Genomic DNA, 18619 nt, shown 5'->3' with positions numbered 1-18619 from the left:
TAAAACTTGTAAAGACCAACAAAAAACAGACATAGAAAACGTATAGCACTTTCAAATAAGCAAGAATAAAACTGTCTCCTGACTAACAACAAGAAAAGGAAGCTAGGAGACGATGGAAACCTTCAAAATACTGAAAGAAAATAACTGTTAGCTTACACTTAAATATCCAAAAATATTTTCAAAAATTATGGAAAATTAAAGACATTACACACATATTTAAATTAATAATTGATTTCCAGGGGACCTGCACTAGGGAAAAAAAGTAAAGGAAGTTATTTAATCAGAAGAAAAATAATACAATATGGAAACTTGAAAACAAGAAAAGAAATGAAAAGCATAAAGATGTGGGTCAATAAATAAATACTGAATAAAACACATAATGAAAATAATAGCTTGTGAAGTTTAAATTTTATACAAAATAAAAACACTCAACAACATAAAAATCAAATAGGGCTAAGTAGAATTAGAATGTTCTATGGTACACTATCTTGGAAGTTGTAAAAGTACCATACTAATATAAATTAGAGATTGATAAATCAAAGTTTTAAATTGTAATTCTTTTCATAATCACTGAAAAATAAAATATGTGTAACTAGCAAACTAATTAAGGAGAAAAATAAAATAACATAAAAGTTTAATTAATTCAGCCCCCAGGAGTCATGTGTGCAATGTTTTTCTGTTTAGCCAGAATACATGTTGAAAACCAAGATCTATTAGTTGTCTCTTCTCATTCTTGTCTCTCTCCCCATCTTAACACCAGTGTCTCTGAGATTCCTCCAGTTTTGCTTATTTTTTTCCAGTTATTCCCAAGTATTTATGCTAATTTCTCTCATAACAATTTGGGGGCATCTTGAATTTCTTCTTTGTCTCCTGTTTTTATGACATTAGTTTTTTTCTAGTTATGCTGAGGTTTGCCATTGTGTTCTGACTGACAGTGAATGAATACATTCAATCTCTTTTAATGATGTTAGGCTTGTCAAGGGGTCTGAAAACAGACAGGATGAAATCTAGCAGATAAACGGCCCTTTCATGGGCATTGCCAAGGAAGACAGAGGAGTTTATGTGTTCTGACTTAAGATAATTACTTCTAAAAATAAACATAAATATTAATATTCATATTTACATATTTTAAAATTCTTATTTAGGTTTAATAGTATCAAAGAATATGACATAAATTATAGTTAATTTTAAAGTCATAGAGTCTCAGGTTAGAGTTATATTTAAATGAATTGATTTACTCTCCTTTTGGATGGATACATGTAGTGTTATTTTTGTTTTATTCTTCACATACAAGCTTGCAATTTAAAATTGTATTCTTACAAAAAGTAAATATCTGCTCTTTTATATTTTTGCAAAACTGATTTTTACATTTTGGAGAGAAATGTGTCAATAAATGTCCAAAAAGTTTACATTTTAAGATATATTCATATTTTCCTCAAAGTATAATAAAAAATTATAAACATAATATAAAGCAATATATTTAATTCTTATAATTTTTGGTTCTTTCTTTAGATCATTCTGCAGCCTGGCTAAGGATGAAGATAACTGATAAACTATTATATACCAGTGAGTATTTCTGGCCCCTCTGTAGCTTGGGTTTTTTATTGAGAACAATTACTGTTTTATAGTGCTTGGTATGATTTGGAGCACAAAATTAAATGCAACAATTAGAGAGTATAATTTTTATAGAAGTGTCAAATAAAAGTTGTGCTATTTTGGGAAACCAAGAATGTTGGTTTAATTTAAACTGAGCACATTTTAGAGAGAACTCTGTCATCTTTTACTGATCTGTGAAGATAACACCTAGAGTTAAATTCAACATCCAAATGTTTAATGTGAACGAGTTTCTTGAATAATATACACTTCAACTTGCCTTGAACTATCAGAAGACAATTGCTCTAAACCAATTTTATTAATCAATCATAAAATAAAATTCAACTCACTTATTTTTCCAAAAATCTAAATCTCAATGCTTTTTTAAACATATGTTCCAGTCACATTTTAGGAATTCATTTCTAAAATGAATTTTAATAAGCAAAGAAATACAGCAAGAAATGTTGTGATTAGTACTGCAAAAATATGTATTTTTTAAATGGTGGCAGGAAAAAATTTTATTATTCTAGATATTTGTTTTTCATGTTTCATATTCTATTCATATGCTGTGGCTATTTTTCCAAAGAATATTGTTTTGCTTTTTTAAAACTAAAAATGCCAGGATGCATACAGTAGACGATCTTATATAACACTTTGCTCTTACATTAGTACTTTACTTTCTACTTCCTTAAATCAATTTCAATCCTTTCTCATTATAATAAAGCTTCCTTGTTCTTCGTTTAGATTTTTTCACTTTTTAAAAAATTTTGTTATTATTATACTTTAAGTTTTAGTGTACATGTAAAAAAAAAAAAGATTTGTTCACTTAATTCTTAGTTGTTTTTGTTTTATTTTCTACCGTTCACAGAATATTCTGAATCATCCCCTTTATTTCCACCTTCTACTACAAATATAATTCTGATCACTGGTTATAATTCATATTATACTAATTACCACCGCCATCTCTTTTAACGTATTTATTTTTCTATTCACTTGAGGTTTTATCACAGTTATGTATGATTAAGCAGCAATAATTTTTTCTGTACTCTTGGCTTTGTTCTTGTTCATTATATACCTTTCTTTCACAGGATTAGTACTCCTCATTCTTCTTTTTATTTGCTATATTGTAGAGTTTATTTTTATTAATTTGTTTATCAGATTGGCAGAATGCTGGTACTGTAGTCCCCCTTTATCCACAGGGAATACATTCCAAGATGTCCAGGGGATGCCTGGAACTGCAGATTGTACCAAACTCTACATATACTATATTTTTCCCCTCTGATACAGAGAGGGCTGCTAAGTGACTAACAGCCAGGTAATGTGTGGATACGCTGGACAAAGGGCTGATTCATGTCCTAGGTAGAACAGATTGGGACAGTACAAGATTTCATTAAGCTACTCAGAATGCTGTGCAATTTAAAACTTATGGATTACTTATTTCTGAAATTTTCCATTTAATATTTTGACCATAGTTAACTGCAAAAACTGAAACTGCAGATGAGGGAACACTACTGCATTATCAGTCTCACATCATAATTATGCTCCTTATTAATAATTTCTATTGACTTTTATTTTACTATTCCTGTTCTAAAAGTATTTTGAAATATTCTTTTTTTTTAAAATCCAAACTATGGTTCAAGACATCTGAGTGAAACTATTTTAATGTCTCGCCAAAAATTATACTCACATTCTTGGAATATTTTAAATTGTGCTCTGGTTATATGGGAGTACATTTGCCGAACCTACTGTTATTTATTCTTTTTTTTCTACCAATGTTCAGTTCTCTCCTTATAAAAGACCTATCAGTTTAATGATAATCAAATTATCTTTCATTAAGATGAGATTAACCAATTCTTACAATTCAGTATATTGTCTGCTCTTGGTTTTCTATTTTATGCCCACAGAAAGAAAAACAACAATAGTGTCCCCTGGGCATCCAAAGCCTTAGTCTAGAGGAAAACATAATCAAAGTGGGAGTGATTGACAAGGGAGAGAAAGGAAGACTCAGTTTCTTCAGAATTTCACGTAATCCATGACAGTTTTCAAAGGTTTACTACGTGAACTAAAACATGATTGGGGGAGCTATAACTTCGAAATCTACTGTAGTCCCTGGGTTCCTATTTGGAAGGTACTCCATTTCTTTGGGAGAAATTCACCACCCTGCCAACTGATTCCTTTCCTAGAGCCTGGATTCTAAACTGCTAATGTCAATAAACAAAACTTAGAACTTTACAAATCAAATCTCTCTGTAGCTTTTCAAATTTTTAAAATTTTAATTTTATTTGTAATATGTTTGAGAGTCTATTCACTCCTTCCTGTAGTCTTCTATCCTATGTGACTGGAATCCTGAATTAAGTGCAAAATCTGATTCCAATGATAACTACTCAAATCATTTTGGCAAAAAATAAAATATATCTGAGAGAAGTTTGCCAATAATATTGAATAACATTAGAAAATGTTCATAGACTTTTGAATTAAGTAAAATAACTGGCTACAAAGTTAATCGATAACATGGCCCCAAGTTTTGATTATAAAATATGTATATTTTATCATATGAATATAGAATATATATAAGCTGAACACATGTAAATACAACATAGAAACATCAAAATGCGAGGAATGCTCTGTCAAATTAGTGGAATTTGTTGACTTATTTTCTTGTTTATATTCCTCTCTACTTTTTATCAATAACCATCTATTTTATAATCAATACAAATCCATTTTAGTAGTTAATAAACTTTCACATTCTATTGTATACTCTTAGAATAGTGACTATGTCCTATGCATCCTTGAATCACTAAAATGAAAGATAAAACCATCTGCCACATGCAACTTATTATCTGTATTAACAGAACTCTACTCCACCATTAGGCTGTCTTCACCAATGTCATTTTACTATTCCACTGCCTTCATCAACCCAAGTTTGCTATTCCAGGAACCTCTTGCCCAGGTTGCAAGTAATTATATTGTTCATTTAGAAGCTTCCTGGAAAAACCATTTAAATGAACATCAGACGGTTAGGCTTTCCAATGGGTAATAGAATCATGTGAAAAGTCTTCAAAGCTCTGTAAACCCTCACTTCAAAGCCTTCTCACTAATATAAGCTATTATATCATAGTTCTTTTTCAATTCTAGTCATCCCTTCCCCTACCACCACTGCATTGAAAAACCCTCCATAAATCGGAGTCTGAAACCTCATAAATATCCTAACTTTGCTATTCCTCTTTCAGGAGGCCAGAAGACTCTGCAAGGTAGTGCTCTCATTTGTTAAAAACTTAGCTTTGTCATCTGAACAGGCTCACCTGGTGTTGGTTCTTTAGGGAAGCCTGCATTTGACCAAGTGCAAGTAGTAGAGGACCTTCCACAATAGTTATTCAATAAGTATGTGTTGAAATAATGTTCAAATATTTTAATTCACTGAACTATTGTTAATGTCTTAGCATCTCTAGGAATTCTCTAGAGTCTTTGACTCTACCCCCTTTGAATACAATCATAGAATAGCAATGTACTTAATTTTTAAGTACATTAGTGGGTGCATTTCCATTGAAGAAGCTAAATTTATACTTGGATATTTGGTCTCCCTTCAAAAAGCATACTCCAATGATTATTGTTCCATCTGAAAAAATGTTTTCCATACGGTTTCGTTTTATTTCCCATAGAAAATTTGATATTTAGCTTTATTACAACTAATGGTATTAATTAATTTTCATTGTCTGAGTTTTCTTATAGGGTTTGTTTTGAAATATTCAATTAATAATAGAATTTAGTGAAGCTACTAAGAAATGAAGTGAATACATGATTTCTGGATGTCTGTCTTTGTAATTATTTCTAGACCTTTGTAAGTAAAGCCTTCTCTTTTCTTCATCAGCTTAACATTGAAGAACTTAAGAATGTGCAATGAGAGTTAAACTTCGAATCACGCATGGCAATCAGTGCCTACTCATGCCATTTCACTTCAAAGGGACGGTGTCTAGAAACATTCTTTTTACAAGGCATTGATATATGTAAAGAATGTATCAATGAATAGATGATGGTGGTGTTTCAGTTACAAAAGCAGAGAAAGAAATTTGTTACTGAAGGCAAACTTGTACACCTGGGCAAAGCACTTGCATTCTTTTAAGTTCTGTCAAAGGTAGTACTTCTCAAACTTAAATATGCATGCAAATCACCTGAGGAATCACAGAAGAATTCAGATTCTCATGTGAAGGTCTAGAGTGGGGCTTGACCCTCTGCATAATAAGCTTCCAAGTGATGCTGATACAGCTTGTCCACTTTGAATAACAAGGATTTAGTTGAAAGAAACCCTGAATCATGGACATACTTTGATTTATCTCTGCTCTTTCTTGATTTGGACTCATTAAACCAACTTCAGATTACAATTTGCCTTCTCTGTTGGTTTATCTAAATAGCAGTATTGTTAATCCCAAGATTGTATCCCTTATGGTGAATAAACATGTGGACATTCCAGATTTATGCATTTAGGCATTTATTTCTGTGAGGTTGGTTAATGTGCATTTGTTTCAGATGAGGTTAATAAAATAATAATAGCTAAGACTTATTTTGTATTATTATTGCATCTTATTATTAAAATAATAATAGCTAAGACTTAATACTCTTTGTATTCATTCATTCTCATGCTGCTAATACAGACATAACTGAGACTGGGTAATTTATAAAGGAAAGAGGTTTAATTGATACACAGTTCTGCAGGGCTTGGGAGGCCTCAGGAAACTTAAAGTCATGGTAGAGGGGAAAGCAAACAAGTCCTTCTTCACATGGCAGCAGCAAGGAGAAGTGCTGAGCAAAGCAGAAGAAGCCCGTTATAAAACCATCAGATCTGGTGAAAACTTACTCACTGTCATGAGACCAGCTTGAGGATGAACACCCCAATGATTAAATTACCTCCCACTGTGTCCCTCCCATACGCATGGAGATTATGGGAACTACAATTCAAGATGAGATTTGGGTGGATACATAGCTAAACTATATCACAGTTTGACAGGCATAAATATTATATACACAGAACAATCTTATCTAGTCCTCACTGGAATCTTATTACATACTATTATGAGTCTTATTACATGGATAAGAAGATTTGCTTTTGGGAAGGTTAAATAATTTGCTTAAAAAAATAAGCAGTAAATGAATAGTAGAACCAGGCTTTAACTCAGGCTATCTGGCCTTCTGATAGACAGAATAATGGCCTCCATAGGTTTCTTCCTCCTAATCCTCAAATCAGTGAATATGTTATTTTACATGTCAAAAGAGACTTTCCAGCTGTGATTAAGTAAAAGATCTTGACATGGGGAGATCATCTTGGATTATTCAGGTGGGCTTATGGGAATCACAAGAGTTTTTCTAAGACAAAGAAGAATACAGGAGAATCAGAGTCAGAAAAAGAAAATCTGATAATGGAAGCAGAGGTTGGAATGATGCTCACTGAAGATAGAGGAAGGGGCCATAAGCCAAGGAATGCAGAAGGCCTTTCTAGAAACTGGAAAAGGCAAAGAAACACTGTCTTCTAGAATCTTCAGAAGGAATTCGGTCCTGCCTGTACCTTGATTTGGGGTCTAAACCTTGATTTTGAACACAAAATGAATGTGTGTTGTTATAAGCCACTAAATGTTTGGTAGTTTGTTACAGTAGCAATAGGAAACTCAGACAGGACCTGAAGCTTAAGTTGTTCAATCATCTTTCAGCCTCTCAGAATAAGATAGAGGCAGAGAAAATGGAAAGGATGACTGAAAGCAGCTTCTAAAAGAAAGAAGCAATAAAACTGATGACAACTGAGGAATAACTTTTTTTTTTTTTTAGTTTGTAATGGGCACGGTACTTGGCCCTTTACAGACAATATTGTGTACACCACCCTTGACAATTTTTTGAGAAATATCTCTCATGGCAAAAAGTTTTCAGTATTAGAGAATTAATTTGATTTGGGGTCATGTCGAAAAGTATTCAAGCCAATCATGCCTTGATTGCAATGATGGGAACCTCATTAGAAGATATTTTATGGCTTCAGAGGTAGAAAGGAAGAGATTTTAAATAGCAATATTAAATTTTAAAATGTATTATTTAACATAAATTTTTAAATTGACAGATAAGATGTATGTGCTTGTCAAATACAACATGATATTTTACTGATTTTATTGTTGGAATTTGAAACTTGTTCTAATGGTAAGAAATATGTTTCACAAATAATGTGGTAAATGCCAGCTTCATTGAAGTAAATGTACAGCATCTGAATTGAGTGCTTTTTGAAAGAACATTCATTCTGAGGTATAAGTTCCAATGGTGTTCATTAAAAATATAAACTTGTTGCTTTATAGACAGAGGTCATACATAAATCATTATTATTCTACTTGTGACTGAGCAACAGAGCATTGTAAGTGGGTGGCTTTTCTTTCTGAACTAACCTGCCTGCCCCGGGAGCCTGGAGCAACCACTTACCGTTTATGTGGCTGTGGCCAAGTTATTACCTTCTGTATGCATCGTGTTCACTCTTTGGTAAATGGAGATAATAATAATAATTGCATTTCCAGTATAAGGTTATTATAAGGATTAAATGAATGAATCTTTGGAAAACACTTAGAAAGCTTGGAGCGTAAGAAAACACTATATAAATAAATATTTGTAAATAAATCAGAATTTCTCAACTGAGAAATATAGAAAGTCTTACATTCTGAGTGAACAGCATATGCCTAGAATTTAGGTGAACAGAAAATAATTTGCAACAATGAGAAGTTGTTTTAACTGCAAAATTCACTGTAATGTTTTGTAGCTAATTTTTTAAAGATGTGCTTAGAAGTGTAAGTGGAAAAAATAGTTGGAACACCAAATTACAATATGTTTAAAATTCTTCTGTCATCTAAATGTCCTTAGATAGACTATATCCTATCTTCCTGTGATATATTATTATATTTACTTTTCATTTAGTATAATCTTCCAACCATTGCAGTGGGTAGCATTCTTTAATACAAGAATACAGACATATTGTCCTCCCCAAGTTTTTGGTCATCTTATTCTCCTTCCATAAAACTATATTTAATGATCTCTTTTAAACTGGCACTGTTCCCCAAATGTTTCAGGTTTAGACTGTTCACTCACCGTCCATTTCATCACTAACTATTTTCATTAGCCTCCAATTTGTGAGTAAAGTTCTCTAAAAATTTATATCCTTAACTTTCTCATTTCTTTGCTAAAAATAATCCATAATTATTTCCATCTTAATTTTTATTTCAGTGTCAGTTATAAATTACTCTCTTCTACTTAGTTGGAGATCACTTGAGACTTATTAGTTAATGATTGAAATCTCTTTGCATTCATTATTATTTCAGATTTTAGCCTTTTATTTGACAATATTTAATTTAATCCAATTCTAACAACATTTGCTGAAAACCCATTTGCAAGAAAACATAGTGCTAGGCTCTGTAGAAGTAAAACTATGAAGAAAATATCCTTTTTCTCAAGAAGCATACTGCCTGATAAGGAATGACATGTACATATATAGCTTTTTGAAAAAGTGAAAAAGATTAGTTCTGGATTTATGCGAAGGTTAAAAAAATGGTAGATAATTTCTTTGAATCTTGGGCCCAGTTTCACTGAAATCATAGCTTGGTCCCTTCTGCGTCTCTTGGTGACAATTAGGTCTAATGGTCTCATTTCCTTATGGGATATCAGGAGCTGAGCAAAGGATAAAATATTTTAAATCTTTTCATCAACTGTTGTTTGTCTTCATATATGTCACTAAATTTCCCGTAACTGTTCATTTCCCTTTACATTATAAGAAATCATAGAAATATTATCACATAAAGATCTTTATAATAATACACTTTTGAATTAGCTACCCACCCTCCTCAAATATTGGAAGTATTATAATTTCTCATAAGAAAGATCTAAGAGTTTGTGTTCATACAGAATGACTGCTAGTTAACTCGGGAATGAAGACTCTATTTCAGATTAATGTGCATTTCATATTTTCATATAGCTTATACTAATATTATTGCTTTTGCTTTTTCCATGTTATTCATAGATTTTAAAGCTTCAGAAATCTGGTTTTAAATAAGAAAGTCTTTACATGCATTTAAATATATCTAGGCCTAGTTGATTTGTTACCATTTATTTCCTTCATCAAGAATTCCAAGTAGTGGCATCTGCATGAGAGCTATTCATATGCTGCTTGAAAACTTCCTGTTTAATTGTTGGTAATAGAAAATCTCATTCTGCACTACAGAGCTTATTTATATTGAATTTTATTTCTACCATTGAAGAACAATTTGTGCTTAATACTCATGTCTGTTCTTAAGAGACTATATATATTTGTGTGTATAGGTATGTATAACATATATATGTATATGTATGTATACATACATATGTGTATGTGTATACCTATATGTTATACATATGTGTATATGTATACATATATATGTTTAAGTTAGACAAAATATTAAGGTAACAAAAACTTCATTTTCTTCAGGAAATTTGCATTAATACCCCCATAAATACAAAGGTTTCTTCTATTCTATTCTGACCAGTGAAAAATGCTTTTCTTGCTACCATCTCCTTTATCACCGGACTAAAAAAAAATTGTACCAGCAATAAACAACTGGAATATTCCCATTAATTTGGATGCTTTTGAAGAATAGCCAAAGGACATGGAAAAATGCAAAAAAATAAAAGTTATTAGATTTTTTGGTCACAGTTCCTCAATACATTAATTGGTTTTATTAGTGACTTTAATTTTTTTAACATCTTGTAGCTATACCAAAAAGGATTGAAATTATCCTGAAAAAGGATTGCTGCTATTGTTGCCTTCTCTGCATCGTGCTGTGTCCCCAAGAAGAAAACAGGTAGCTAGTTGCAGAAATCATCTTCAACTCTAGCTTTCATAATGGAATGACAATGCCAGCATATTATTCTTTCCTTTCTCTCCCTTCTAGTTCATGTGAAGGAAGAGATTAGTTCCACTCATGAAAATCTGAAGATTTATATTGTCTCTGGTTTCATGTGATTATGTCATGTGTGTCAAGAGCCAACAGTTAATAAATATGTACTGAACACACATTTCATGGTAGGCAAATTGCCACTTAATATCAATGTGGTTTAGGTTCTAACAGTTATAGTGCTTCCTGCTGTACAAGAGTTGGGTATCAAAGGAGGAAGAAATGAAACACTTCTCTGGAAATATCCACTTACATCTACTGTCCTAATAGGATTTAATGGTATTTGAGGATATCCTGAAGAAAAGAATGTGAACCATGTTCACCATTGGAGTGAAGATGAATGAAAACAGGTCTGATTGACTGTGGTAGGTAGCCCCAGTAGGAGTCAGGTGACATTAAAATATAGAAGATTTTGATCCTAAATTTAAGGGAGGAAGAGAGGTCCCAGCTCTATATGATACCGGTAAGAGCGTCCTCTTTTATCTCTTCCCCAGTAGAATTGCACTTTCAAGGATCCTGTTCTATGAGCACCATCCCCTGTATTTTCAAATAATTGTCTTCTAATATTGTACTCAAATTATTATTTGATCACATTAAATCCCACAATTAATTGATTTATCTTACCACTTGCTCCTTTTCTCACCTGGATCTATTGTTTGACTTTATAATCACTGACATGCATACAACTCCATAGCTTTCCATGTACCTAGGAAAATAAGCAAAGTTTCTAAAATCCAAGTTTCTACCCACTTAACACCTGTTCAAAGAGAACTGATCTTTGTTAAAGAAAGGTAAATGAGCATCCTGACAAGTTTCACAGTAAATCTGACTGCTAACTTCAAGTGGCTAGCAATTCTACATAGTACAATAGTCATTTACTCTCTTACTCTTCTAGAAAACTATTTTACACCTTGGCCTCTTTCTCTGAATATATTTTCCCAATTCTTTACTCTCTGCAGAAGACTTATTTCAAAAAAGAAATTTCACATGCTACCATATTCACATCTACTACTCTCTAGCTGCCAGATAGCTCTCATCATCATAAAACTTGCTTCAATATATTCCATCAACAAAAAGGAAAAAACATTGCCACAACCTCCCCCTTCCATTCCTCTTTTCCTCATCAGATAAAAAACATTTGAAGCAATTGTCAGTATACATATTTGTTCTTCCTCTCTTTGAACATCTTATATTTAGCATTTTCCCCGTCACTCACAAAAAAAACAGCTGTAGTCAAGATTATCAATTATCTTGGTTTGGGTTCCTCACAAAGTAAATCAGGAGACAGGACCTGGGTACAGATAGTTTATTTGTAGGTAAACAGAAGCACAGTTATGGAAGTGGAGAAAGTGAAATTGAAAAGTGGCAAAAGTCACCAGAAGTTGTATGAACCAGCAAGATTCTCCACATGGGACACTGGTACCCACTGGGAACCTTCTGAGAAATTGTGTGGCACATACCTTGGAAGTTGTTACCAGTTGAATACACCCTGAAGCTGAAGCTTCGGGTGAACTAAAGGATATGGGGCGGGGCATCTGCACCACTCAGTCTTATTTCTTCCATCTTACTAGCTCAGTTTCCTTTTCTACATTCTCCTCCTTTGAATAATGGGGTGTCCAGGTCCAGTTGTTTTAGGGTCCAGTTGTTTTGGGTAATCTCATCTAATTACAGATGAGAATTACATATAATGAAAATTTTAACTCCAAATTCACATATCTAATATCCACTTGACATGGCATCCCCACTTTGACTTTAGTAGCTCTTCTGCACAAACCATGTAAAATATATTTCACAGCATTCCCCTCCAACTTGATTCCTCTAACCTTCCCCAACTCAATAAATAGATGCTCCATTTTCCCAGTGTCCAGGCCTGTTATGTTCCTTCCTTTAGCATGTGTATGGCTCATTCCCTTACTTCATTCAGGACTCTCTTTAAATTACCAGAAACAAAAATCCTTCTGCAATGAAACTATGTAAAATACCATTCTAACCACCCTTAACTGTGCCATGTTTTTCTTTATACTCATCACCACCTGAGATATACATTTGACTTGCTTATTATTTGCCCAGTGCTAGAATGTACATTCCTTATGGGGACAATGTTTTATTCACTGCTGTGTCACCAGCAGCTAGTTCATGGTCTGGCACTTGTTAAAGACTCAACAAATATTTGTTGAATACATGAAAAAGGGTCTCTGAAAAAAAGCTAAAACAAACAAACATTTTTAAAAAATTGGAGTTTGATCTGCTGGAGGGGAATTACCAATAGGTTTGGAGAATGGAAAATTGTGATGATGCCAGGAACAGTATGGCAATTGACAAAAGACCCAATTCTAACACAGGTACTTATGCACCACATATGTGCCATGGGAGAAAGGACTTGGTGACTTTAAGAACTGGCAACACTTTGACACTTAAGTGACACTTTGGTGAATGTAGAGACTACATTCATTTTTATCTTTCTATCTCCTCACTGCTTATGTTCAATTTCAGAAACAGACCATTGTGAATATCTGCAATTGAAATGGTCGAAGCACGTTCTCCACCTTTTTAGTTCCTCACATTGTGAATCCTGTTTTTCCAAGGGGAATAAAAATTCGTCAAAATAACTGGGGAAAAATCTACGTTTCTCAACCTTCTTTGATACTAGGATACTGATATAAGAACTTAACATCTCTCAGTCAGACACACTCATGCAAACCTTTTATTTATAAGTTAGCTACATGAGGGGAAATTCTAAATGTAGGGCATCCATTTTGCTGGTGAAAGAGTTGGTGAGGAAGAGTTTCTAATGAAATCCTGGTCATACAGAAGTAGCGTAGTTTAGAGGTTGTCAATGGCAGCTGTCTCTTTGCTAGATCTGTGGTGCGATTTGGGGAGTTTATTTTGGCAGCTCAGCCTACTGTCTGTTCCTTTAACTCTTCCAGTAACTTTGTAAACACTTTATTATATTTTAATCAATACATTCGTGATCAAACCAGCTAGAATAGTCTGTTATCTACAAGTAAGAATGCTAAGTAATGCACAGTACACATACAACAGCCAAGAGTAACACAGAAGGAGCATTCTGACTTACTGTGGAAGAGCAGTAATAAGAGCTAGAGGCCATTATCCTTAGCAAACTAACACAGTAACAGAAAACCCAATACTGCGTGTTCTCACTTATAAATGGGAGCTAAACAATGAGAACACATGGACACATAGAGGACGGCAACACACAGTAGGGTCTATCACAGGGTGGAGGGTGGTAGGAAGGAGGGGATCAGTAAAAATAACTAATGGGTACTAGACTTAATACCAGGGTGACAATCCAAACAACAAAACCCTATGACACAAGTTTACCTACATAAGAAACCTGCACATGTACCCCTGAACTTAAAATAAAAGTTAAACTTTAAAAAAAGAACTTACAGAAACTTTCTAGTTAGAATTTTTTCTTTTAAAAAATATTGACTTTATTTATTATGAATTGAGCTTACAAGAGCCCCAGTGTTGAAGGGCAGATGACAAGTGTTTATATGGCATCAAAGGTGACACTAAGAATGGTCACTCTCTCGACTGGGCGTGGTGGCTCACACGTGAAATCCCAGCACTGTGGGAGGCTGAGGTGGATGGATCACCTGAGGTCAGGAGTTCGAGACCAGACTCGCCAACATGATAAAAACCCGGTCTCTGTTAAAAAATAATAAAAAAAAAATAGCTGGGCATGGTGGTGGGCCCCTATAATACCAGTATTAGAAGGCTGAGGCAGGAGAATCGCTTGAACCCGGGAGGTGGAGGTTGCAGTGTGCCGAGATCATGCCATTGCATTCCAGCCTGGGCAACAACAGCAAAACTCCATCTCAAAAACAAAAAAGAAAGAAAGAAAGAAAAAAAAATGTTCACTCTCTCTCTCTCTTTCTGTCTCATATCTGTAACCACTTCCTTCTTCATCTATATGTTGACAAACCTGATGAAAATCTCTGAAAATTGCTAAGTAGGAAATTGTAACCGTGAACACTGAGAGGACCTCACATGGTTTTATGAATAAAAAAGAAAAGATAGAGATTTAAAGAATAAATAAATCAAGCTTATGTGTAGGAAAAAATCAAAATAATACATCAGAATGTTAGCAGTGGTTATGTTGAGATGATGGAACTAGCAATATTTTTTGTGTATCTACTGTTGCACTTTATTTTCCAGATTTTCTTTAATGAACATAGATTTTTATGACAAGAAATAATAAGCATGTAGAAGGTCCTGAAAATAATAATCTTTGTCTTATTGATGCAATCCCAGTCAATCAGTTCCATACCTTAATATGGGCTGGCCTTCAGAAATATAGTGACTATAATAGTGACTGGAATGAAATCCTGGTATATGAACTGGCCGTCAGTTGAAATGTCAGGAAACAGGCTGCTTGACTACCAGTTTGCCTGGCTGTACTGATAGGCAATGGCTGGGACTACTGCAGGGCCATACTGTGTGGATATTAAGCAGGGGGAGATAGGAAGACATTTTTCAATGAGTAAATTCTATCCAACACTGAATTTTTTATGGTCAACAAAGCTATAGCTTGGAACCATGATGATTTAAACAATAGTGCAGTGGATATCTCTTCTCATTGTCTGGTAATATATGTAATTCTGGGGTTTAGAAGGATACTGGGTATCCTTAAAAATTCCATATCTCAAAAAATTCCAATTGCATGCCTACTGGAATGCAGATTTTGGTTTATAGGACCATATCTGTCTTTATTACTTTATCCATAGCACCCAATGTAGTACATGACACAAAATAGGAACTCCAGCACCATAATCATTTGTTAAATACACCACTGAATGAACACAGTTCAAAATTATTTGAGAAGCACAAATGTTTAAAAATCTAAATTGTGTAAGATGAAAGATTTCAAACTATAAGCACAATAGTTCTGATTTCATGAATGGCAAAGATAATTTTAAAATAGGTTAAAAATTTCATTCTTACATATTTTCATCAAAGTGACTACAAAATGACAAATGCCATACAATGTGTTTCATAAATGTCAGTTGCACCAAATATACCATAATATAAATCACTACTATTTCTTCTAATCTCAACAATTGATCATGTACAGGTAAATGTGATTGTGTAGTCACCCACATAAGTTAATACTGTAACAAACATCATTGCAGTTGATTGGGCTTAGCCTCAGCTCTCTGGGCTTTGCAAGGTAATATCAAAAACATAGTTTGTAATTAAACTGGAGAAAACACTTGTATGTTAAGTTATCAGAATGGAGACTGTCCACTCAACTTTCATCAACATTTTGAGTCAGGTCTACTCTTGTAGATGTCACAAACTCATAGTCTTACTGAGTACCAAGAATCTTTTCTAAAGCATCAACCAATGTATTAAGGTATTTAGGGTAAAAATGTAAAAATCCTACGATAACAGCTATGTGAGTTTCATTTTATTCAGCTCCTAAGCATTGGTGCTACCTAACACATGAAAAACACAATTACTTAGCATCACAGTGGACATAAAACCTCCAATTTTAGAAGGGCAGCTACAACAATGAATATTCTCCAAAGCACTAACAATCTTCAGTCTAATGAACAGTCTTTAGTCCCCTTCCTCATTGGATGTTCATCAGCATTTTTCTTTCTTTTTCAAAAACCTTCTATTACCACACTTTTACATGACAGCCATTTTTCAATGACACGAGAAAGGCTGAAGATGCTAAGTCCAAGTAAATAAATTTAAACAAAACTATATGAAAACAATATATTTCCAAATATTTCCCTCCTTAACTTCTACCCCCCACACCCCTAATATTCTAGCCAGATTAGACAAGGATGAAAGATTAATGGGGTTCGGTTTGGAGTCAGAAGACCTAGTATCTAACACTTGCTCTATTATTTAGTAGCTATATAGCCTTGGGCAAATTTTGAAATGTCTTCAAACTGTGTATCTTTATCCAGAAATTATTGATGATAAAAACTTAATGTTATGAGACATCATGGGGATAAAGTGAGATTCTATTACAAACAATATGTTATACTAATAGTTATTACTTTTAATTAATCAAGTTTATTTGGAACTATAACTTCAAAACAATATGTAAGAAATTTTTCACAATTATAGTCCACAATTACGCATCTTTATCTGCCAAAATACCAGTATTGTGTTATCCAGTAATCTTCATATACAATTTCTAAGTTTTTTTTTAGTGCCTGGCACCTAGTAAATTTTCAACAAATATTTAATACTTGACTAAATGAATATATTCACAGCCTTCATAAAATTACATGTGATACTGTATCTTACTATTGTTGTAAATGCTGATACCTCTGAAACAGATTTATTGAGAAGTCAACTAAGCCATGTGAAGAATATTTACATGGCGTTTCTTTCATCTCTAGTCCGTGATCCCATTTTCTGCTCCCTAAATTCTGAACTTAGGGTCATATGCCATGACTAAAATTTAGTCTGCCTTATATAAAACTCCAATTTTCCAACTGGTTCTGGGGTTCAACCCTTGCCTTCTCCACTAGCTGAATTCGTGGCTAGAATGGAGATTCTGCCACTTCTCGATTTTCATTTTCCTTGATTCTAAGCATTTAAAACAGGTGATCATTCCCTCCTTCTTTAAACCATGTCTTCACTTGACCTCCTTGGACACTGCATTCTCTTGGGCTTGCCCTTCTCCAGTGGCTACCTGTACTCAGCTTCTTTTGCCAGGTCTACTTCTCTTTCTGCTGTCTCAGCGTTGAAGTACTACAGGGTTTGCCCTTAATTTCCTTCTTTTTTCACACTCACGTTCAAAGCAATTTCACCCTGCCATGGTTTTAAATGCCATTCATATGCACATGCCACCCAAATACATTTCTTCCTTGTTACCCAGATTTACTCAACCATCTTATATCTCGTTACTGGCATTTCAAACTTAAAAGTGGCCAAGGCAGAACCTCTGATTTCCATCCTCATCCCATCATCCCCAGTTCAGGAAATGACTAACATTCATCCAGTTAATAAGACCAAAAAGGAGGAATAAACCCTGACTCTACTGTTTTCCTTACATTCCACATTCAGTAAGTTTTTCAAGAAGTATTTTTAGCTCTCTCTTCAAATTTATCAAGATTCTGACCATGTCTATGGTTCACTGTGTCCACTGCACCCAATTTAGTCCAAACCACCATCTTCTCCCTCCTAGATAGCATAACAGATGCATAGTATAATGGATGCAAGCTTGTTTCATCTTCATCCTGCCTTTATTCTAGAGTGCTTTTCTTTTCTGGAAGTTCTGGAAATTAGAAACCACATTTTCCAGACTCATTGCAGTAAGACTTCTTAAATGTGATTTTTCTTTTTCAGTTAGATATGTTGGCTCGAACTTGGAAAGACAGAATCTTTCTGAATCCAGATATCTTCCTGAATCTTTGGCTTTATTTTTCCTTGAGCACTAGCAAATTTATGGAAAATGAGTTTTATTCTGCAGCAGTATTCTAGGGCCCTGTCTCTAATTTCCTGAGTATGGAAAGGCAGTTGTGGCATCATGAATGATAACCAACAACATCTTGACTCTAGCTTTTTGATTCCTGTATGTCAGAAGTCAGGCTATAGCTCACTACTCTAATCATTCCATAGAATTTGTAAGCTAATTCCTTGCATCAAATTTCTTCAAGCTTAAAATAGCTAGTCTTATTTTTAATTTTCTACACTGACAGAACTTTTAATTGGTATTCCTGTTTCCACTCTTACCCCTTAAAGTCACTGCTTTACTCAGCAGAGAGAATAATCATATCATCTTACCCTACTTCACATCTTCCAATCTCCTCCCATCTCATTGAAAATTGACTTCATCTTCTTCACTACAAGATACAAACCCATTCATGATCTGTTCAGTACCTACGTTTTGAACACATCTCTTCCCACTCTCCTCCTTATTCATCTCACTCTGGACACTCTTAATTTATTCACCACTCCCCTAATAAACCAAGTATATTTTGTCTCAAGATATTTGCACTTATCTTCTCTTCCTGGAATGCTCTACCTTCAGATCTCTTGCTTTCTTATGCATTTCCTTCACATCTCTCTACAAATACCACCTTATGAAGGGAGAT

At 33.9% G+C, this 18619-nt stretch overlaps 1 long non-coding RNA gene across 5 annotated transcripts in view; it reads left to right on the top strand.

Moving 5' to 3' along the window:
• The window catches only part of LOC102724858 (uncharacterized), a 175348-nt gene that overhangs the window by 144094 nt on the left and 12635 nt on the right, over positions 1–18619 (top strand). The window contains exons 3-5 of one of the 5 annotated variants that reach the window (XR_001745961.3): positions 1513–1566; positions 10349–10439; positions 10530–13938. This is a non-coding gene — a long non-coding RNA (uncharacterized LOC102724858). Of the gene's footprint in view, positions 1–1512; positions 6063–10348; positions 10440–10529; positions 13939–18619 lie in introns of those variants that run through there. The other 4 variants (XR_007060968.1, XR_929062.4, XR_929061.3 and 1 more) reach the window with 4 other exon arrangements.

Source organism: Homo sapiens, chromosome 8 (genome assembly GCF_000001405.40).
Source record: "Homo sapiens chromosome 8, GRCh38.p14 Primary Assembly".
NCBI classification, from domain to species: Eukaryota; Metazoa; Chordata; class Mammalia; order Primates; family Hominidae; genus Homo; species Homo sapiens.
This window is presented reverse-complemented; position numbering and strand designations above follow the sequence as displayed.